A 23,745-nucleotide genomic window follows, 5' to 3' on the forward strand; every position below is an offset into this window, starting at 1 on the left:
TCTGTTTTTTTCCTTATTCTAATGGTTAAACCTCAGTTCGTGCCCTAAGTCTAGTAAAGGAAAGGCCTTTGGACTTGGATCAGGAGCTTTTGTTCCTAACTCTCCCTTTGCCTTTCACAGGATGTGTGATCTTAGGCAGGAGACTAATGTCTTGGAACCTGTTTTCACATCTTTCAAATGAAGGACCAGACTGGTCTCTGGGATTACAGCTTTCATGTTCTAGGACTGTGTATGCGATTATAACTGAGGGGGTGGGGCAAGATCCTTTATTGCGTTAATACCTTCTTTGTATTGCTGTAATATATTGCTTTCTTTCTAACTTAGAGCTATTTTTAGTAAGAAGGCGGTGAGACTATCACACACACTGAATCTTGCCTATGATCAGTTGGAGTTTTAGAAAAAATCATTTTTCATTCTATTTCCTAAACAAGGTTCTTTCAAGGAATATAAGGGAAGAAGAACCTGGTTAAATCACTTATGTGTGCAAATGATTTTGAGACTGAAATGCCCCCCATAGAAGCTTATATCTTTTTTCATCTGCTCTATCTCCTTCCATAATTAGTCATTGATAGCAGAGAGACATAGATTAATGTGAATCTGCTTCGTAAATGGCACAAACTATTTACTTGTCCCAATTCAATAGGGGTTTCCAAAAGTGTATTTCTCATTGTTAAAAGTGTGCATATTATATTGTTGATTTAAAAGGATCTATCTTTTAGGAGATCATGATCTTGCATTTCTGATTAAATCCATTGAGAGATATTAAAGAATGATACCTTAGAAATTCCTTTGATAACATAAAACAAATCTGAAATACTAGGATAACAGTAAAAAACTAAACCTGTTGTTTTCATTTTAAAAAAAAACACCTGCCATAATGATGCTTTATTCTAATCTCTTGATTGGAGATTCCATATGATCTCATTCTGGATAAGGTATTGTAAGCCAGTTTTTTTCACTGTATTTACAAGTAGAAATAGGGATGTGTCTAATTTAAGCCTAAAAGATATAAAAACAAAGAAATTCGCCCAGTGTGAGAGGAGCAATTTGGTGAGCTTACAAAATGGAAAAATGTAATTTTAAAGCAACATTACTAGGCATGGAAATAGTTTGCTACCCAGATTCCCAACACGAATAATTCTCAGCTCAATTTGGGTACAGTCTAGGTAAACTTTCTCACAGTTCATATGGATATCATGAGTAAATAATTAAATTACTCTCTAAAAGTAAGTAATTTTAGTAGGCTTTCCTAGAATCTTCTGTAACATAATAGACCATACTAATACTATCCTTTCCCCAAAATTTGACCTGTCCCTCCTTGTCTTCCCTCCTAAATATAAGGACTCTTGCTACAACAGTTTTAAAGTTCTACTCAAACGTAAATGCTGCTGTGTTATCTGTTTCTGAAAGTTGACTATTGCATTGTAAGAAATCTAATACTTATGGCTTATTACCTTAATTGGTAATTTACATAGGCCATTATCCTAGTACTTATTTAAAAGACTATACTAGGCAATGGGGATATGAATTTACCCCCTCTCCAAACCCCTACCACCTATCACCAAATCAAGTGACTGCCTGGATTACAGTACTGTTAGGAAGAGACACTTCTTCCCCATTCCTATGTTTCCTTCCATATGGCGGGGGCAAGAGTGTGACATTTCTAGCCTCTGTCTGCCTCTTCACTCATCCATTCCCAGGGGAACTGAACCCTTATCTCATTTGCGAGTTTGGGTAGAATAAAGCGAGCATGCTTGGATCTACTCCTTCCTTTATTTCTTTTGAAAGTCAGCTGCCTATAGGCAGTAAGTGCTCTACTCATCCTAATGAAGGCTCTACCCTTCATTAGCTGTGGATGGAGTGGGAGCCCTGTCTTGTCCATCAGTGCCTATGACTGGGTGTGTTAGTCTGTCTAATCTAGGTTCAGTATTAGGCACTCTCTCTCCCACTGATATAAGCCACATCCACCTACTCAGCTATTTTGGTAGTAACTGACATTTTAGTCCCCCATCTGCTTACTCTTTTGTTTTATTTCTCAATTCCATATTCAAGTGGGGAAGAGGGACATTTTAACTAGTCCCTCTCACATACCAGAATGGTGTACATAGATCCTGACCATGTTAATCTTCTGTTCCCAGGCTAATGTTTTGTTAGAGAATAAATAAGCACCAGAATTTTGAAAATTAAAGAGCGTGTTGAATTAGGCTTATATTTATGTTCTTAATTAGAAGAACACATTTTAACACCCTCACTTGAAGTATTAACTTCCCCTTTAAAAGACACACAATTTATTAGTTCAACTTAGTTGTAAACAGAATAGTTCTCACCATCAAGTTTTAAATATACTCTTCTTTGTTATATGTTTGTGACTGTGGTTTAGTTTTAATCTATATAAGAAGGCATGGAAAACAATAGAGAACAAGTTGTCAAAATCTAAGAGCTTTTTTCTCACAGATTCCAGTCAGATGATCTGCAATTGAAAATTGCAGACAGAAATGAGATACTTCACTAAAGTTTAGGTTCTTCCAGATCAAAATCCATTTAAAGAATGCTAGGTAGAAAGGAAGAGAGATGTTTGACAAACATGTTGGTATGTATGTCTTCACTTTGATTCATTCCAGTTACTGATTTTCAAAAACATGTTTACATAAATACGTCAAGAGATTGTATTTGTTGAGGAGGTTAATGTGCTGTTCACTTCTGGCAAGATTCTTGAATGTCTTATTTTTACTCCTCCTCTCCCCATTATTACCTGAGTGTACAGGATGGAGATTCAGAATTCTTCTGTCCATCTAGGCAGGAGGACAGCTTTTAACTCTCTGTACTCTAGAAGTATTTCCTTTGATGTTTCAGTCCTTTCATGCTGGATTCCATGTTGAAAGCATCAACAGGATTGCAAAACCTCAGCAAACCCACCTAGATTCTCTATTTTTCTGTTAGTGAGTTGTTAAACTTTTATAGCTCTAGTGCAGTTAAATAAGAGTATCCCTTAATCTTGTACTCCAGGTTTCTCACAACCTGGAGTTTCATATGTGCTTAGGGAAGCACATATGAAATATCTGGCAGAACTGAATCCTGTGAAAATCAGAGTACTTATAATACTTCATGAATACCTATGGCATTTTGAAGATGGATTGTTGTAGTCTTTGTAAGTCAGTCAGCTAACAGCACCATCCCTGGGTAATTATTCTTCTAAAAGATATGTAATTACATACTAAGAAATGTGTTTATTGTTGTCATATATATTGTGTATGTCTAGCCTCATATGCAGAAGGCTACAAAATTTGAAAGAATCTACAAGATCATTGAGTTAGACACCTCATTTCTTATTTGGGGAAAAAATACTGATAAATAGGCTACATGACTTGCCCAAATTTGTTCGTGGCCACTTTGGTGTTAGAAACTTGTAATTCTGATTTAATCCTGTGTGCTTTTCATTACATCTTATTTAATAGAAAGGGAAGGCTTACTAATTATACATCGTTTGGGCCCATGATAAGAAGTTCTTCCCAATGTTTTCATTTGTTGCCAATACCAGCCATTTAGTTGCCCAACCCCATTTTAGCTAGGCTTTCCCTAGGGCTACACTGCTTGTTCTGTCTCCTTTCCTCAGCATCAAACTATGATGTGGGTTAATGCTATGGACAGGACCTGATGGCTACATTGCCCAATCCAAACTTGGAGATGATGCTTGACCTGCCTCACCATAAATGCCAGGATGTGCTCAAAATAGATTATAGTCCCATGATCTCGCTTGAACGTAAGTTTAGTTGGTCAGCTCCTCTCTGGAGCTGTGACTTCTTAGCTTTTTCTCTCCCTGAGGCTGCTCTCTTTCTATCATGTTGAACAACCAACCCCATGGTTTCACTCCCCTGACCCTGGCTCTTGCACTGTGGCTATATGCTTTCGCTAGAGAAGACGTCAGTCAATTCTATTTGTTGTCAGCAGTCTGATGAAAAGGTTGAAGAGTTAGGAGTAGAAACTATTGACTAAAATAATTTAAGTTATCCTGCTCATCCTTAATTGATTTGAAGTCTACTTCAAAGAGAGTTAATAAGCTTTGGATTTCAGTGTGTAGAAAAATGTGAACACATCTGAGAGCTGACACCAGTGAAGTTTTGATATTAAGATTGCTTTTGACAACTCAGTGTAGGAAGGAGATAACAGTTGAAATGACAGGCTAATGGGAACCCAAAACCTACCTGGCGGTGGAAAGATGTAGCAAAGATAGATAATTCTTTTTTTCTACTCTTTTATTGCTATCATTGATTTGTCAATGAGCTTAAACAAAGTGGCAAAAACTGAGTTTACCAATGAATTTCAACAGTAATCACTACTAACACTTGTTTTTCTTTTTTCTCTTTCCAATCCCCCTCCATTATAGAACAGTATAGCATAGTAGTTAAACATTGGACTTTAGAGTTGGATAGGCCTGAGTTTAAATGGAATTTCAGACAAATACAAACCATGTGACTTTGGGCAAATTACTTCATCTCTCTGAGCCTTAGTTTCTTTGTAAGATAGGGGCAATAATACCTACCTCATGGGCTTCTTGTGATAGCTAAATGAAATAATGTATGCAGGTGCTAAGCAGAATGCTTTCTTCATAATGAGTACTAAAAAATAAAGGAAGATAATCATGACTGTCCAGGTAAAGGCTTGGCCTCTCCAAATAGCTTTTCAAACCCTATAAAAAGTGAAGTGGTGGTCCTCATATGTTTGGATATTCCTGGGTCATCACTCTTTTCATTTTGTCTGCTCCATATTCCAAATGAACTTGGAAATTTTCCATATCCAAGTTATCCAGGAAGCACTGGGTAAGTCAGCAAAAGTAATGGGGAAATACAAGATTGAGAACATATGTTTATGATCCCAAGTGCAATAAAACAATGCCATTCAGAAGAACTGTGTTAAGACACATTAGAAAGTGTTGTCATCAAACCAGTGCATGGTTTTATTATGTGAAGACCAGTAAAGCTTTTTCTCATGTTTTCACTTGATTTTGGTAATCATACTCAAAGCTCTCATCAAAATAAGATGTATGTGACATTTGATCATTGTCGGTATTTCCTTTAGCGCACAAGGGAGTATGGAAAATATATATAGAATCAGAAGTCATTCATGATGTGTTCTAAGAGCTCTGAGGGTAAGGATTGTGTCTGTGTCTATCTGTTTTCTGCTGTGTTTTTACTACCTAGCATTGGTCCTGGCACACAGTAGGTACTGAAAAATAAAATAAGTCATTTAATTGCCTATTTTGTATATAATTATTAATATAATTGAACATTGGTCTTATGCATTTATAAAGTAGTTGGTAAAAAAATCTAAAGATGACATTCAGCTAAAGGTTACTGTCACATTTGTCTAATAAGACTCCTTTTCTGTGAACCAATTAAACTTAGGTCATTGCTCTGCCTTAAGGGAGCAGCATTCAGTCATGATCAATTTGTGTGACACTTTTCCAAGGAGTATTTTATTTTTAATGAAAAATTGGCCAGTGGTATTTTTTTAGACTTATTCATTAACATTTCAGCTGTGTTGTCTAAAACATTGATGTATGGTTAAATTAAAAGTGTGGTTTTAGGGGATAAACTAAAAAATACCAGAATGTTACATTATATATAAAGGACAAGGAGATTTAAATTAGTAATAAGCCAATCTAAATTGGGTTTTCTTGATATCCTTAATTATTGTACAAAGGACTAATGGTGAGTGTATATATATATTTAAAGCTTCAGCATCTATTAAAATTTGTGTAAAATTAACTTATTTGGCATGTTTTGTTAAATGTTCTTATTAAAAATATGAAACACTAGTGAAATATGGAGACTTTATAACAAAGTAAATGAGACTGATTTTTTTCTTTTAATGAACGGACTGGAACATATAATGTATATTTAATGAACTGACTAGAACACTGAATATATATTTACTTCAAATTGGTCATTTATTCCAATTATCCAGTCATGTTCAGACTTCGTGTTTGGGATTTTCATATAGAAATAGGAAAATAGAAGAAAACCATCACAATTATTTTATGATTATGCTTCACTCTTGAACTTACTTATATACCTTAATCACTTACATTATGTGTCACAGTTGGCTGCAAATGATATTTAGAGCATAAAAAAATCAAATCTAGCTTTAAGTGATTAGAATTTGCTGTCATTTAGTACATTAAAATAGGAATGCCAGGCTTTGATTATTCTCAAGGAATTCTAATGTTTGGAAAGATGGCAGTATCATTGGGAAAAAAGTGTACAGCCTCATAAAAATGACCACAACATTGAGGATGCAAACAGAGATAGGTGTGTTGTCTTCTTTTTTTTTTTTTTTTTTTTTTTGAGATGGAGTCTCACTCTGTCCCCCAGGCTGGAGTGCAGGGGCGCGATCTTGGCTCACTGCAAGCTCTGCCTCCTGGGTTCACACCATTCTCCTGCCTCAGCCTCCCAAGTAGCTGGGACTACAGGCGCCCGCCACCACGCCCGGCTAATATTTTGTATTTTTAGTAGAGATGGGGTTTCACCATGTTAGCCAGGATGGTCTCGATCTCCTGACCTCGTGATCCACCCGCCTAGGCCTCCCAAAGTGCTGGGATTACAGGTGTGAGCCACCATGCCTGGCTGGGTGTGTTGTCTTCTTTTTAAGAAAAACCAGCCTCATTATTTTAAAGTTCTAGCAGAGGAGCACAGTTAAAGGTACAATCTTTGCTTGAAACACAGGCCTCTTTGATCTACGAAAGTCTTCATTAACAGTAAAATGTTGGGATACGTACTTATAAGGTAAGAAAGGAGAAAGCAAACTTTCTTAACAAACCACTCTCTGAAATCAGTATGGGCAGTCAAGTGGTCATTGACAGATTAACTTCTGAATAACTTCGTAGTTATCAAGGCTTATATAGTCCAGATTTGACTTTTCCTGTCAAATATAGAGTGGGTATGTGGATCCTCATAAAGTGGAATGGCCACCAAGCTTTATTAGAAACATGAAAGAGAAAATGTTATGGTTATATGGTTATGTGGTTATTTCCATATAAAACTTACTCATGGAAAAAGTGGGAATGGGAGTTGTTATTCAACTTGATGGATACACCCATCTTGTATTTATTTTGGTGCAGTTGAGGTAGCATGGTGTCATCTAATTTTATTCAAAATAGAGTATAACTTCTAGGTGAGTTCATTTACTCACATACTTACATGTTGATGTCTCCTAAATCCAAAGATACTCAAATAGGCACTTTTGCTTGAATTTCCTGTAGACACCTCACACTTCACTTACCCTGTTTTTATCTAAAGTCATCATGGTCTTCCTCCTCCCTTCCACTAACTTGGTTGTCTTCTGTATTCCTTATGCTTGTTATTGTCATGGCCAGTTAAGTCCGAAGAGCTGGAAATCATTTTCTTTCTTAAGCAGTCCCTCTGCCGTGCCTAATTTGTCACGAACTCCAAAAGTTTCCTAGAACTGTCATTGTTCTTAGTCCCTAATGCCTCTGCCTTGGTTTGCCTTATTATCTATTATCTTTTCCTTGAACTGTGGTCATAGCAGGTTTTTGGTTTTCTTGATTCCAGTCAATCCTTCACATTGATAACTGAATTCTCTTTCTAAGAAACAAATCTATAATGTCACTATGTACCAACACACACACACACACACACACACACACACACACACACCCCACATAAACCTACCTCTGGCTTCCTTCTTTACAAAAGAAAAGTCAATAGTCTTTACCTGGTGCACAAAGGCATTTTCTCCCTAGTTGCAACCTAAAACTTCTTCAAACACAACACCTGAAATTTCAATTGCCCTTAATTTCTTGCAATGCACTGTGCTAGTTCACAAGTCCTCTTCCTCAGACAGGCTGTCCTTCCTTCCCAGGGCAACCATCACCCCTTTCTGTCTCACAGTACCTACTTTCCCTCTAACACCAACTGCAAGGGCAAACTTGACTGGCTTCATACAAGCAGGTGGTTGCTGCCTGTTCTGTGCTCTTTTGGATCTTCCCACATTGGGGTACAATTATCTAATTAGTTATAAGTGGTCCACCCACTATTATTATTAGCCTTTTTTTTACTAGGCTGTGGATACTAGAGGTCTGCCACATATCTTACTGATCTGTGTAGCTGTAGGGTCAAGGAGAGCCTCTGGCATAAAGGCTCAATAAATAATTGTTGAATTAAAAAATGAAGAAATATTGATAATAGCTAATACCTTTATAGTTCATTATGAGCCATGCATTATTCTAGGAGCCATGCATTATTCTAGGTTATTTATATTAACTCATGTAAATTTTACCATAGTGCTATCAAATAGATAAAATTATTATCTTCATATTATAGGTGAGAAGACATTGAAGTACAGAGAGGTTAAATAACTTTGAGGTTGGTATGGTTTGACTGTGTCCCCACCCAAATCTCATCTTGAACTGTAGTTCCCATAATCCCCATGTGTTGTGGGAGGAACCTGGTGGGAGGCAATTGAATCATGGGAGTGGTTACCTCTATGTTGTTCTCATGATAGTGAATGAGTTCTCATGAAGTCTTATAGTTTTATAAGGGACTTTCCCTACTCTTCGCTTTGCACTTCTGCTTGCTGCCACCATGTGAAGAAGAACATGTTTGCTTCCCCTTCTGCCATGATTGTAAGTTTCCTGAGGTCTCTCCAGTCATGCTGAATTGTGAGTCAATTAAACCTCTTTCCTTTATAAATGACCCAGTCTTGGGTATGTCTTTATGAGCAGCATGAGAATGAACTAATACATAAGTGCACAGCTAGGAAGCATCTGAGCTCTTTATTAAACCCATGCAGTTTGGCTTTAGACACAGGGCTTATTAACAACTATACCTTACCACTTCTCAGTGTAGCCCAATACTAGAACCCTAAATTAATCAGTTTTTCTAAAATTCTTGCCTTTAGGGGAAAGAAGGGGCCATTACAATAAAATTAAATCACTGGAGATTTATTTATTGAAAAGTAGTTTCTAGCTTATATTGGAGAGTAGGAAACAAAATTTGTCCACCATGACCGCAATATATAGTGTTAAATAAGTTATACATAAAATAAGATAAAAATGGCACTGTTAGTGCCCCAGATATGTATTTTATACATCTTAATGTGTTTCAGCTGACTCCTGCTGACAGGCTTTGCACTTGTTTGTAAGGTTCTTTGAGTTTTCTGAAACTGTGACAAGCCATGTTGCCTATGCGCATGCCAGGTTAGAAGAGCCAAGGCATTAGTACCCTTTGGGAGCAGCCTTGCCTGACCCTTCAGAGAATACCCTAGCTGTCTTGCTCCTTGAATGAGATTATTCTGAGATGTGAGTTTTGTATAATTTCCAGAGTTTCTCTGAGAGTTTAAGCTTCAGTTGTGAACTGTGGTAGATATCTTAACACGTGTTCTACGTTTTCTGGCTTCCCTTCCCTACATCATGTTTTCCTATACTTTAAAATATTGCCTTTATATGCCCTACATATCCACTATCTATCATAAATAAGCTATTTTTCTTGGAATGCTTCTCTCAGGATTTCCTTCTGGGAGAACTCAACTAAGACAGTGATGTTTATAATTATTACCTTGGTTGCAAAATGTTGAATAAACAAAGTTTTGAGTGTGTTAATATATTAAGAAGAAAGTTATAGTAACTTGGGGAATACTTTTTATAGTCATTGATTGTAAACTCACCTCAAAGTTCTGCTCTGGGCCTCTGGTAATCTTTCCAGTTTACTGTTTCAATTCTACTTTAACCAAAAAGACAAAACAACTACCTCAACACACACAAGGACCCCACCCAACTCTTCACGTGGTAGATTCTTTTCAGTATGAAGGAAAATAAGTCTTCCCCTCAAATATGCAAAATTTAGAAATGAGAATTGACTATTATCTACCAAGGGTTGAAGTGGTCACAACTATAAAGAAAAAATTATTTGGATCTTTTAAGTTTCTCCTTGAGTGGACCATAGGATCTTGACTGTGATTTGTCTTTAGGCCAGTTTTTTTCTACTTATGACCCTCAGGCATTTGAGGACAAAGTAATGGGAATGCAGCAGCTACTTTTAATATTGTTGGATTCCTAATGGAAATAAGCATTTATCTATAAAAATAATTGTCCAAGATAACTATGATCAAATATACTTCCTTTTAGTTGGAATTTTACTGCCTCATGTGTGTCTAAAGCTCTATCTGGAAATTAGTTTTTATCTTTAATATAAAGATAAATTATTTGTTATTTAGTACAAGCAATTTTGTAAGTAAACATTTTAGAAGCTTGGAGTTAGAGCCAGAGGAGGAGTGAGAGGGTCCTTGTTGGTCAGAAAGTTGGGAGTAGAACCCCTCCTTCTTTTTGCCAGGCTCACAGCTGGAGGGGCCAGAGAGAAAGCTTTCTGTTAACGAGAGTGAAGCCAAACGTGATGTATCTAGGAAAAATAATTCAAACTCTAGTTATTGCGTGATCTGCTCCAAAGTATTAGTTATGATTAGGAAAATGAATCTGAGGCATTTGGAGCATTTCAGTGTGATCCTATAGTTATAATCTTAGTGTCTATTGTTAAAGTGCTGCTCCAGTTAGAAAGACCACCAAAATACTGGGCCTCATCAGGAGGATACTGGGGTAGAAGAGAAAAACATGATGGCATTCTTGGATTCAAGCCCAGTGCATCTAGCATTAGAAGAGTTTCATTTGAGCTGTGTGCTGCAAGATAGACTTTCCAAAGCTGAAGACCACCAAATCCCCCTGACATTTGTAGATTGTTTGCCAGGCACTGTAACCAATTAATTTACAAATAATTTAAAAACACATTTTTTTCTAATTTCAAAAGCAGTCCATTCCTCCTGTGGAAATTAGTTTTAGAAATCTAAAATAGATGAAGAAATGAAATGCTTTCGTTCAGTGATTACTGTTAACTTACACTCTATTTTTTTCTGATTTCAAATTTACAGTAATACTTGAATATATAAAACAGAAAGTAGAAGTCCCTATTAATCCCATTCTCCTCAATTAACTACTGTTAATGAGCTGGTACAGATGTTTTTCATCTCTCAATGTAATATAACCACATTTTATTTTATTTATTTATTTTTGAGGCGGAGTCTCACTCTGTTGCCCAGGCTGGAGTACAATGGCATGATCTTGGCTCACTGCAACCTCCGCTGCCTGGGTTCACGCAAGTCTGCCTCAGCCTCCCAAGTAGCTGGGACTACAGGCACCCACGACCATGCCTGTCTATTTTGTATTTTGTATTTTTAGTAGAGACAGGGTTTCACCATGTTGGCCAGGATGGTCTGGAACTCCTGACCTCAGGTGATCCACCTGACTAAACCTCCCAAAGTGCTGGGATTACAGGCATGAGCTACTGCATTTTTTACGACACTGAAAACAGAGGAGTAAAAAAAGTCCCTTATAATGGTATCACATTATCTTAACCACTATCTTATTTTGGTCAGTTTTATTTGATTCTTCTATACATATATTTCTATTTTTATGTTTGTAATTATGGTATGCATACAGTTTTGTACCATACCTTTTATTTCACATTATAAGCATTTTTCAGATTACCACACAGTCTTGTCATGTGTGTATAGTGTTTCACTCAGTAGATGAATAATTTCTCTATTGCTAGATATTTGTTATTTCACTTATTTAGTTAATGTTGGCATGAATAGTTTTGATTAAAAATAATTTTAGATTTCTTAAATTATAGTTCCTCTAGAATGAGGTATAAACTTTACCTATTGTTTACTGTAGCACCCCTTGTACCAAGTGCAATGTCTGCTATATGGTGTTATGTTAAATGAACATTATGTTAAATGAACAAATGATGAAGAAGAATTATTGGACTAAATGGCATGAACAAATTTTTGTTGCTATTTTTTATCCCCCAAAATGTAGTATTTTGACCTGGCTAGATACTTTTACAAATGTTAATTCTAAGAAAAACTCAGTGAGGCAGTTGAAGAAATGGAGGTTCAGAGTCGATTTACAGTCATACAGCTAATGTGGAGCCAGTGTTCAGATTTACATCCTTTGATGTGCTAACCTTAATGTTCCATTCACTTTGCCACACCTACATTTTGTCCCTCACCTACATTTTCTGATTAAGAGGATGCAGAAGACAAAGCTCTGGAGGCTTGTGGTTAGTGGACAAGGATAGCTGGTTGGCTTGAGCAGAGCTTGCCAAATTGTGGTCTGGGCGCCACTTTCATAGAGCACGCCTGCAGAGCTGGTCCAACCAGCAGATACCTTATCCCTTCCAAGACTTGTAAATATCAGTTTCCAGGGGATGAAAGGTTCTTATGGGGCTGGAATCTGCATCTTTACCAAGCACCCTGTTGTGTGTTTAATTATACCCCCTCCCCCCAAAAATATATTAAGTCCTAACCCCATAGCTGTGAATGTGACTTATTTGGAAATAGGTTCATTGCAGATGTAATTGAGTTAAAATAAGGTTATACTAGATTAGAGTGGGCCCTAGTCTAATGACTGGTGTTCTTCTAAGATGAGGGAACTGGAGGTACAAAGGAGACACAGAGGAGAATGCCATGTGAAGATACAGAAGACCCAGGGGAGAATCCCATGTGAAGATACAGAAGACACAGGGATCAATGCCATACGAAGATACAGAAGACACAGGGATGAATGCCATATGAAGATACAGAAGACACAGGGATGAATGCCATACAAAGACAGAGGCAGAGACAGGAGAGATGCATCTGCAAGCTAGGAAACACCAAGGATTGCTGGCAACCACTAGATGCTAGGAAGAGGCAAGAAAGGATTTTTCCCCTAGAGCCCTCAAGAGATTGCCGACCTATTGACACCTTAACTTTAAACTCCTAGCCTCCAAAAGAGCCACTTGGCTTGTGGTACTTCTAGTAGGGCAGCACCAGAAACCTGACACACACCCAAGACCTTAAATTTGACTAAATTTAAATCCAGAGTTGATGGTTTACTAACCTAAAATAGTAGTTTAGACCCAGAAACAAGTAAAGGACAAGATTAAGGGTGTTAGAACATCAATGAAATAAGAAGTAATAAACATGGAAAGTTTGAATCAATAAAGTTACATTTCAGCACACCTGAGTTGTGACTCCAACTTTTGAGACAGGAATAAACCAAATCTCTATCTGCATGCTTCTTATGGCAAAAAAGCAGATCTATCAGAGATCTTTGGAAGCAAGCTAACTACATAGGATATAATGATAATAATGACTAAATTTCATTTCATCCGAAGCCTAATGCCTTTAATGTTAGCCATTAATTTTTAAGGGCCAAATACAGAGCCTTCATATTAATTGATAAATTACACTTAGAATAGCTGTTCAGTATTTTTTCCAGAAAAAGATTGTTCAAAGTGTAGTAAGCAGTGTCTAAAATTGTTCTTAATGATTCTCACCTCCTGATATTCACATTTTGTATAACCTCTTCCCTAGATTGTGGGCTGGACAATCTGAGACTGGACTTGCTTCTGAGAAATAGCATATGGGAAACATAATGACATATCAATGCTAAGATGAGGTTATAAAAGACTGTGAGTTCTATCTTGTTCACTCACTCTCTGGCCCTTCTTGCTTGCTCTGATAAATCAAGCTGCCGTGTTGTGAGCTGCTTTATAGAGAGGTCCACATAGCAAGGAACTGAGGGTAGCCAGCAGCCAGCCAGAAACTGAGGCCCTCAGTCCAACAACCTGCAAGGTACTAAACCCTGTTAGGATTTAGTGTAATGTGTTAAGTTTAGAATCGAGTTGTCCATTTGACCTTTGAAATAATAACTGTAGCCTTAGTCAAAATCTTCACTGTATTCTTATGAGATCCTGAGCCAGAGAACTCGAGCTGTGTGTGGATTTCTAACTCACAGAAACTGTGATATAATAAATGTTGTTTTAAGCCACTAAGTTTTGAGGTAATTTATTATGCAGCAATAGATAGCAAATATAAAAGCTATTAAAATGCTTGAGCTTTTTCTCCAAGTTTGGAAATTTACAGAGATACTATATCCATCTTCATCATGAAGCAAACAGGTTAGCTCGCTTTGTTTTGTTTGTTTGTTTGTTTGTTTGGAGACAGAGTCTTGCTCTGTCACCAGGCTGGAGTGCAGTGGCGCAATCTCAGCTCACTGCAACCTCCACCTCCTGGGTTCAAGCGATTCGCCTGCCTCAGCCTCCTCAGTAGCTGGGACTACAGGTGCCTGCCACCATGCCCAGCTAGTTTTTGTATTTTTGGTAGACACAGGTTTCACCATGTTGGCCAGATGGTCTCAATCTCTTGACCTCGTGATCTGCCCACCTCGGCCTCCCAAAGTGCTGGGATTACAGGTGTGAGCCACCATGCCCAGCCAGCTTGCTTTGTTTTAAATGTGTGTAATTTTCATGAATCTCTGCTTAATAACTAGGGCAAACAAATACGGCAAGTTTTGCTCCTTGCTTAATCTATGAACCCAATAGTTTCATGGTGTCTCAGTTAGAGGTCATTCTGTCCAACCCCTGTACTTCTCAAATGATGAAGCTATCGTTGTATTAATAGCTTGCCCAAGTAAGATTGCCAGATTTAGCAAATAAAAATACAGGATTACCAATTAGATTTGAATTTCAGATAATCAATGAATCATTAAAAAATATAAGTATATACCATGTAATATTTGGGACATACTTACCCTAAAACATAATTTGATATTGATTTGAAATTTGAATTTAACTGGTGTCCTGTATTTTATATGGCAACCTTATGCCCAAGGTCAGGCAACCAATTAGTAACAGAATCTGCATTAGCAGCCAGGTGTCTGGTTTCCAGGCCAGTATTCTTCCTCCCACATGACACTGTGATGCTGATGAAAGTGTTGCTTTAGAAACTCATCTTGTGGTTGTGCATGTTTGAAGTTTTAATGTAGTAACCATTACTGAACTGATTTTGAAAGGAGCTCATGGGTCATTAAAGGACAAAAGCGATGTCTTTTATACAATCAATGGGTCTGATTCTGCAAATGACAGTCCAGTCTGAGAGCGTTAATGGAAGGCAGCTGTGGACCCTGATGTTCCTATAATAGTGCGCAGGACTAAATGTTCTTAGTTTCTGACTTGACTGCATTAATATAGTGATTTTAAGTATGCAGGCATATTATGAAAAGGGGCAATTTGTGGGAAGAAAATTGAATCAATTTAAAGGAGCTTTTATATTTATATATTTAACATATGCAGATCTATAAGCATTAATGTAATTATGTGAAATACATAAAAGTACGCAGTAAGCATTAAGAAGCCCTCTGCTAACGTGTACTAAGAGACTTTAAGCCTATGTGTGATTGCTGTCTAATTAGAATTAGTGTTTCTTTGCTGGCATTATTGAACTTAGAATATCTTTAATTGTTTAAGTACATTTACATAGATAATTTACATAATCTGTTCTTGTTGACAATGGGTTTATGTAGAGTATAGTCATTTGAGGATAACAAGTGTGATGATAACATAGAGACTGGTGGAGAAAAAAGAAAAAATTAAAAGCGTCCGGTGATTATGAAGTTCGAATGAATGCAACTCAGATTTTGGGCCTTTGGTCATTCTAGTTCATTTATTCCAGTGCATCAAAAGACCTATAAATGCTTTAAATTTATGGATTAAATAAAACTGATTGTTATTTTCCTGATTGTTATTTTCCTGATATTCCACCAATAAATCTTTAATAATTTTGTTCTCTTGAGGGAAAAATAGCCAAGTAAGGCATGGACAGTAACTTGGAACTCAACTAAATGTTAGGAATCTATTTTTTTATGATGAAGAATTGTATTTGTACTATTTTTGTAATCAAATGCTAGGCTAAGCTCACAGTATTGATTTTGTATATATATATATATATATATATATATATATATATATATATATATATATATGATATTAAGGAAAATCCACAGATGTTAAAATAATTTTCTTGTATTTAATAATAAAGAACGAATAAACAATGCTCTACTTCTAACAAAATGTTTTCACCTACCTCCACAAATCTCCAAAACAACCCTAAAAATAGGCTTAAAGAAAAAATAATGTGCCTAAGGTCACAGTGATAGAGTGTGGCCCAGCCTGATTTCAACATATTTTCTGACTCTAAGCCCACGTCTTTCCACTATGCCACACTGCCTCTAGATTTTGGATACTGTTTCATTGAAAACTGTATTTACCTTGCAAAAGTACGGCCAATCTTGTAAAGAAACCAGGATTTATTTGTCAGGCCCTCTAGAGACTTGTTTTCTGGAATTTAGCATTTAGAACCTCTTGAAGTTTGAAAATGACTTATTTAGAAATACTAAAGAAGGAGGAATGGAAATTCACTTTTTCCATTTAGAATTCTCATGGCTAATCTCATCTTCATTCAGAGTGGCACATCTCTGAATATTTTATCAGAGTTCTTTTGCAGCTGAGTTAAAGCTGTGCCTATGCCACTGCCCTGAGCCAGTCCATAGGATAGGCCCCATAATTTTTCGTTGGCTGGCTGGCTGACCTAAGGCTTTCAGGGCAGATGTGAGGAGTGCTAAGGCGGCTGAGAGAAGGTACAGAATATCCTAGGGGCCAAGAAATGAACCAGAAATTAAAAGGATATGCAATCTAATCTTTGAAGAAAATACAAGCTACAAAAAAATCTTTGAATTATCTGTGTTAGTGTTTGATTGCGTTGGCATGGACAATGGAGTATTGAGTGCATTTTTTTTTGTCTTTGCTGGTAATGCAATACATTATAAATCAATAATCCTATGAGTTTATTTTGCACTCTAAAATCATCATTAGGCTTACTAGAGTTCCTGAACCTTAGTAATTGATTTCACCCTTCAGCATACTGAGCTGAGAAATTCGAGGCATTTGGGCATCAGATTTTTTTTAAATCAAATGTTTTGCAAGTCATGTGGCCTCTCATATCCATGTACCTCAGATGAGTGCAAATCCCTATATAAAATGGAAGTCACAGAAGAAGATGACTACAGTTTTTCTGTTGTAATTCATTTCATCAACATTCTTCCCCTCCGCACTTCTCCCTCCCACCACATGCAAACATTCATGGACATCTTGATACCATTACCTGTTACTCTTCCGAGGAACCTGGGGAACCGTAATCTTAGTGATATCCAAACACCAGTTTTATCAGTCTTTTTGATTCATCTTTTTACTTTCAATTTTTATCATCTTCTAGTTATGTTTGACTCCTGGATTCACAATACAGCCCTGAGGTATCTTTTGTGGACTATTTTTGCATCATTATTTTATTCTGAGCTTGCTGTGCTTAACTTTGCCACTTCTTGATCTATGCTCTTTATATTATGGCAAACTTTTCCCTAGGCTTTGGTAGTTTTGTATAACAGATAATTTTTGAATGTAGTCTAAGATATTTCCACCTAATCAAACAACTGATGAGCACCTTAAAGTTCCTTTGACCACTTGAATAATAACATTTGCTGAGTATTTACTATGTGCAAATGCCATACTGTGTTCAATACTCATCTAGTGATTACAATAGCCATAAGAGTTAAGTATGCATATTATCACTTACAGATGAGGGGAGTAAACTTTTTGTAGACACAAAATGACTTGCCCAAAGTCAACAGAAAGGTACAAGGTAGAGAAGGATTTGATTCCATGACCCTGGATTCAAAGATCATGATCTCTACTGCTGCATTTCAGCACCTGTTCTTTGTCATATTGTCTCTTACTGAGTTTTGAATTCCTATTCAGGTAGTGTATTAGTCCCTTTTCATGCTACTGATAAAGACATAGCCAAGACTGGGAAATTTACAAAAGAAAGAGGTTTAATGGACTTACAGTTCCACATGGTTGGGGAGGCCTCACAATCACGGTGGAAAGCAGGGAGGAGCAAGTCATGTCTTACATGGATGGCAGCAGGCAAAGAAAGAGCTTGTGCAGGTAAACTCTGGTTTTTTAAAACCATCATATCTTGTGAGACTTATTCACTGTCATGAGAACAGCATGGGAAAGACCCACCCCATGATTCAATTATTTCCCATGGGGTACCTCCCACAACACGTGGGAATTATGGGAGCTACAAGATGAGATTTGGGTGGGAACACAGAGCCAAACCATATCAGCTAGGGGCTTTGCCTTCAAACAATACAAAGAATATATCCTTTGTATAATTCAAAATGGCACTCTAGTTATATGTAAAAGACAGTAATTTCAATCTATATTTTTCTGTGTGAGTGTGCATGCAGAAAGAGCGCATATTAATCTGTTTTCATGCTGCTGATAAAGACATACCCAAGTCTGGGCAATTTACAAAAGGAAGAGGTTTAATTGGACTTACAGTGCCACGTGGCTGTGGAAGCCTCACAATCATGGTGGAAGGTAAGGAGGAACTCTTACATGGATGGCAGCAAGCAAAGAGAGAGCTTGTGCAAGAAAACTTCCCCTTATAATAACCATCAGATCTCATGAGATTTACTCACTATCATGAGAACAGCATGGGAAAGACCTGCCCCCATGATTTAATTGCCTGCCACCAGGTCCCTCCCACAACATGTGGGAATTCAAGATGAGATTTGGGTTGGAACAGAGCCAAACCATATCAGATAGTGTCCATAGGAATTTTTTAGATAAGAGTATGCCCTGAGCACACATGTTGGGAATCCACGAATACTGGCTTTGATTCCTTCTGGACACTGTTTAGCCTGCATAGTCATTTCTTGCATCTTCAGCTTACCGGGGTACAGGCTAAATTTTCAAATAGCAGTTCTACTTATATGTATGTATAGGAAATGCAATCTGGTCTTGCTCGAGGGTTTCATTTGAGGAAGAAAGACTACAAAAGGCTAATCAAAGTCCTTCTACTCAAAATTTTCTAGTAGCCCTTGTGCAAGGTGCTTAGGTGCTTTCTCTGGCAAAACCAAAAGTCCCAACCCAAGGCAAGCTAGATGATTTCTAGAAACAATTCATTACTTTTTACAGATTCAGGCCTGAAATGCTTACCAGTAGGCAAAAGGAGGTCAATCAGATTGGAGGTAAGGTAGAGAATAACCGTTTAATAAGAACCAATTAGGCTGGGCGCAGTGGCTTACACCTGTAATCCCAGCACTTTGGGAGGCCGAGGTGAGCAGATCACGAGGTCAAGAGATGGAGACCATTCTGGCTAACATAGTGAAACCCTGTCTGTACTAAAAATACAAAAATTAGCTGAGCATGATGGCATGCATCTGTAGTCCCAGCTACTCAGGGGGCTGAGGCAGAATTGCTTGAACTAGGGAGGTGGAGGTTGCAGTGAGCCAAGATCGTGCCACTGCACTCCAGCCTGGTGACAGAGTGAGACTCTGTCTCAAAAAAAAAAAGGAACCAATTGGCAGTAAGTTTGAATAGCAACTAAAAACATATCCCTTCAAAGTAGAAACTCTAGGTCTGCTATTCTTAGGACTTGCTCTATAGAATAAAGCAACACATACAATTAGGATTAGAATAAGTCTTTATGACGTTTAAAAGACACTGCTCTTTAAAATGTGCAGAGAGGAAAGAGGCATCAAAAGGCGGCTGTGAGGATGACAGGCCTTTCCAGATCTGTCTGAGGAAAGCACGTACTTGGGCCCACAGCCTTTGAGTCCTCCTTAACATCTGTTTTCCTCCCCTACCTAATACCAAGTGCATCAGCGAATCCTGCTAACTCTCTCTTCAAGTATGCCCAGAATCTAACAACTTTTCCCACCATCACAGCTCCTGCCCTGGACAAGGCATCATCATCTCTTGTTACAGATTCTGCCCTTCACATTCTATTCTATTCTTAACACAGTAGCAGCCACAGGGACCCTTGAAAACCTAGGCAAGATCAGCCACTCCTCTCCTCAAAACCCCTGTTTGAGTGGTTTCCCATTTCACTCAAAGTCAGAGTCAAGTTACCTATGAGAGAGTCTCCATCCTGGCTCCCATTAGGTACAATCTCGTGAGCTTTAAAGAAGTATTGATGTAGGGGCCTGGTCCCAGAAACATCAACTTCTTTGGTTTTATAGTTAAGCTCATTGCTATTTGCTGAAAACTCTCTAAGTGATCTGAATGGGAATCCAGGGTTGAGAATCACCACCCATCACAATCTGCTTGCCTTCCCCCTTCTTATCCTTTTATCCATCTTCCCATCCTTCAATACACCCCAGACACACAGGCCACCTGGCACCCCAGCTACTCTCCCACCTCAGTCTTTGCGCTGGCTGATGCTCTCTCTAGTATTCACATGGAGCATGGTGAGCCTCCTTCTGGTCTTTAAAGTGTCGAATACCCTACACAAAGATCCCTAGAAAATTATGAGCAGAAGAATCTTGATTAGCCTCTTGTAATGTTTCCTTCTGAATCAAACTCCCCAAGCTAGATTAGATTGCATTTCCTTCACAAATGAGTAGATCTGTGATATGATAATTTAGCCTTCACCCTGGTGAGCTGAGGCTGCAAAATAAATAGTTGTACAGTCCAAACTACTGTCGAGAGGAATTGGAGCTAGCATTGATGGATTTTCCGCATACATGCTCAGAGCACCTTCTTATCTAACAAGTCTTCCACAAACATATGCCTGTAACCTTACATACACAGGAGAGATATGTACTGGGAGATCCTGACCAGATAACTTCTAAAGTCTCTTATGGTACAGGTATTCTATAATTCTATTGTTAAATATTAATAGTAACACAGAATTATAAATATTAATGATGTGAAAAAAGACACCAGGACTAGATTGGGGGTTTTAGTCCCTCCCTTTTCCACAATTCATCAGCTACCTCCAAATTATCATAAATAACTACACAGTTTAAGTAGGCCCCTTGGAAAAGTACCCTTTGGACAAGATACATTTTAAGCCTGATTACTCATTTATATTTTAGTATATATCAGTTTTCAAGCATGTTTGGTACCTAACGGAAGCTCAACAAGCATTTGGATTATGAGTAAATTGATGGGTGACTTCATGAGTATTTTCTATGGGGAAGATGTTGGCTCCACACTCTGAGAGTGAGTTAAGTTATATTCAAGAAGACATCTAGAAGAGTGACCTGACTGTAAGAGAGTAAACTGGAGGATGGCCACGTGCCCAAAGATGAGGCTAGTGTTCCTGCACATTGAGGACTCAAAGTCTCCTGGCCTCACCCTCCAGAATATATCCCATGGGTGGAGCACCACCCATATCCCAGGTCTGCACCTTCTAGGTAAGCTCTTGGGAATGGCTGTACTGAATAAATCCATCTGTTAGCTTAGGGTCACATGGTGTATTCATGTTTTTAAAAACATTCTTTTAAAAGTGCAAATACACCTGGGAAAAGATATACTTTAAGCCTGATTACTCATTTGTATTTTAGTATATGTAAGTTTTCAAGCATGTTTGGTACCTAATGGAAGCTCAACAAGCATTTGGAGTATGAGTAAATTGATGAGTGACTTCATGAGTATTTTCTATGGGAAAGATGTTGGCCCCACACTCTGAGAGTGAGTTAAGTTATATTCAAGAAGACATCTAGAAGAGTGACCTTACTGTAGAGAGTAACCTGGACGATGGCCACATGCTGAAAGGTGAGGAAGGAGCCTTAGTCAATGATACAGAGACTTCATCATCTCCTGTGTCAAGGACACAGCAGCTGAGACTGCCAGCTTTGTGTATGTGGATGAATTCATGTATAGGTGATTTCAGAAGAACCCACAAAAGAAATTGCCTTTAAATATCTGGCAAACCTGGAGAGGACCAATACCAGCTCAGAAGAGTATCAGTCAAACATGGTCTTTTTGCAACCTCCTATTTTCTTTCTAGGTTTTCCAATTTAAGCTGGTGGGGGAGAAATAGAAGCACAAAGAGCAAGAGAAAAACCCAGTTGCTCTTCTCTGACTGTATGTTCCCCTCCTACTCCAGGTCTCAGCTGTGGGGAGGGAGAAGCTTTAATTCAAGTTTGAACTTTTGATTTATTATGGATATAAAATGTTTTGTGATTTAAAGTGACCCTAGGACTTTTTATTACCTAAGAGTATGCAGAAAAAGTAATAGAGACTACCCATGTTTTCATTTGGAGGCAATGGAAATACTAGCCCAACAGAATAAATTTCAAGAGATAGTGGGAGAGAAAATGAAGTTGTTTATGAGTCTATCCCGTGAGTCATGCTTGTTACGTATGTCTACTTCACAATTCTGCTCTGATTAGTATATCGATTCTCATGTCAGCCTGAAAATATTTCTGTAGCAAGCCAAGCACATTTTTAGTTGGTGAAGACATTTCTCACAATGTTATATTTTAATCAGCATGGAATTATTAAACTGAGTTAATTTTTTTAAGACAAGTTCTCACTCTGTCACCCAGGCTGGAGTGCAGTGGTGTGAACATGGCTTACTGTAGCTTCAACCTCCCCAGGCTCATGTGATTCTCCTACCTCAGCCTCCCTAGTAGCAGGGACTATAGGTACATACCACCATACTCAGCTATGTTTTTGGTATTTTTTGTAGAGACAGGATTTCGCCATGTTACCCAGGCTGGTCTTGAACTCCTGGATTCAAGGGATCTACCTGCCGTGGCCTCCCAAAGTGCTGGGATTACGGGCATGGGCCACTGTGCCAGGCCTAAACTGTGTTAATTTTTTTTTTTTTTTTTTTTGGTTTTTGAAACGAGAGCGTGTTAAGGAAGTCTTTGTTTGGAATCACTGAAGGATTGGAGTAAATCCACTTCCTGCTGTAAGACAGTTCCATCAGTACCAGACTCAAAGCTCCCTTTCTGAAATCTCAGTCACACAACGAATACTTCATGCTGATTTGACCGTGGAGATTACCAGTTGTAAAGGGACTAACGAGCTGTTTTTAATGGAACATGTTTTTTCTTGACAGTGCTATGAGACAGCCAAGTAAAAAGGGATCCCCAGAGAACCTCCAAGGGGCCTATGCACTGGGAGGATGGGGTGGGCTTCAGGAAGTTCACACCCTTTGCAGGGGGTAGGAGCCTGACCTCTCCTGTTCCTGAGTGGTATCTGGAATTCAATCAGTGAGAAGGGGACCTGTTAACAGGAATCCTTCTTGCTTTGCTGTTTTTTTTCTTTTTCATCCAATAAATTCAATTTTTCTCACCCATTTATGTGTCTCCAAGCCTAATCTTTCCTGGTTGTGTGACAAGAACCCGGTTTTTAGCTGAACTGAGGAGAAAGTCCTATAACAGCTCTACCATGTAATAGACAAAATTGAGACTATCTAATGAAAAGTGAGAGTTGCATTGTTCTGAAGTTAATTGTTCTCTATAATTTAGGGCAACACAACTTTCCATTTGTCTATAACAGAGACACAATTTCAGTCCCTAATAAATGTCATCAAGTCTGACAAAATGGCCTCTTCTCGATGACATGGCTTCCGTCTTCCCAAAGAATCTTGGTGTATTGAGACCTGCAGCCTTGTAACTGGAAGATAAGAGCTGTTTTGTGTTTCTTTTCTTTCTTCAGACAGCAGCCAGACATGGCGCTCTGCACACAATAGGTGTCAAAGAATGCTATTGACAGAATGTCTGGGTGTTTCAGTCATTTGGAATGCATATCACTACCTATTGTTCATATTTGAAGCACAAACAGCATTAATACTGATGGCCTGTGGCTTCTGAATTCTTTTCACAGCTCTCTCTTCATTTAGTCTAATTACTGTAATGGGCAGAGCACCCCTTCCGTTTTGACAGTTAAGATGAAGGAAATTGAAAATTCGAAAAGACCATAAAGGACAGACTCTCAAGAAAAGAATCCATTAAAGTCAGTTAAAAGTTATCTCAAATCCTCAGCATCCAAT

The 23,745-nt window shown here is 38.0% G+C and overlaps 1 protein-coding gene across 2 annotated transcripts in view; it reads left to right on the forward strand.

The window, feature by feature from the left end:
* Positions 1-23,745, forward strand: part of GALNT13 (polypeptide N-acetylgalactosaminyltransferase 13) — a 1,388,282-nt gene that overhangs the window by 42,181 nt on the left and 1,322,356 nt on the right. The window contains exon 3 of one of the 2 annotated variants that reach the window (NM_001422882.1): positions 13,978-14,175. The exons of the other annotated variant lie outside the window; for it this stretch is intronic. The gene's annotated coding sequence lies outside the window, so the exon portion shown is untranslated. The remainder of the gene's footprint in view (positions 1-13,977; positions 14,176-23,745) is intronic. 2 annotated transcript variants of the gene reach the window in all.

The sequence above is a fragment of the Homo sapiens genome, chromosome 2 (genome assembly GCF_000001405.40).
Source record: "Homo sapiens chromosome 2, GRCh38.p14 Primary Assembly".
Classification (NCBI taxonomy): domain Eukaryota; kingdom Metazoa; phylum Chordata; class Mammalia; order Primates; family Hominidae; genus Homo; species Homo sapiens.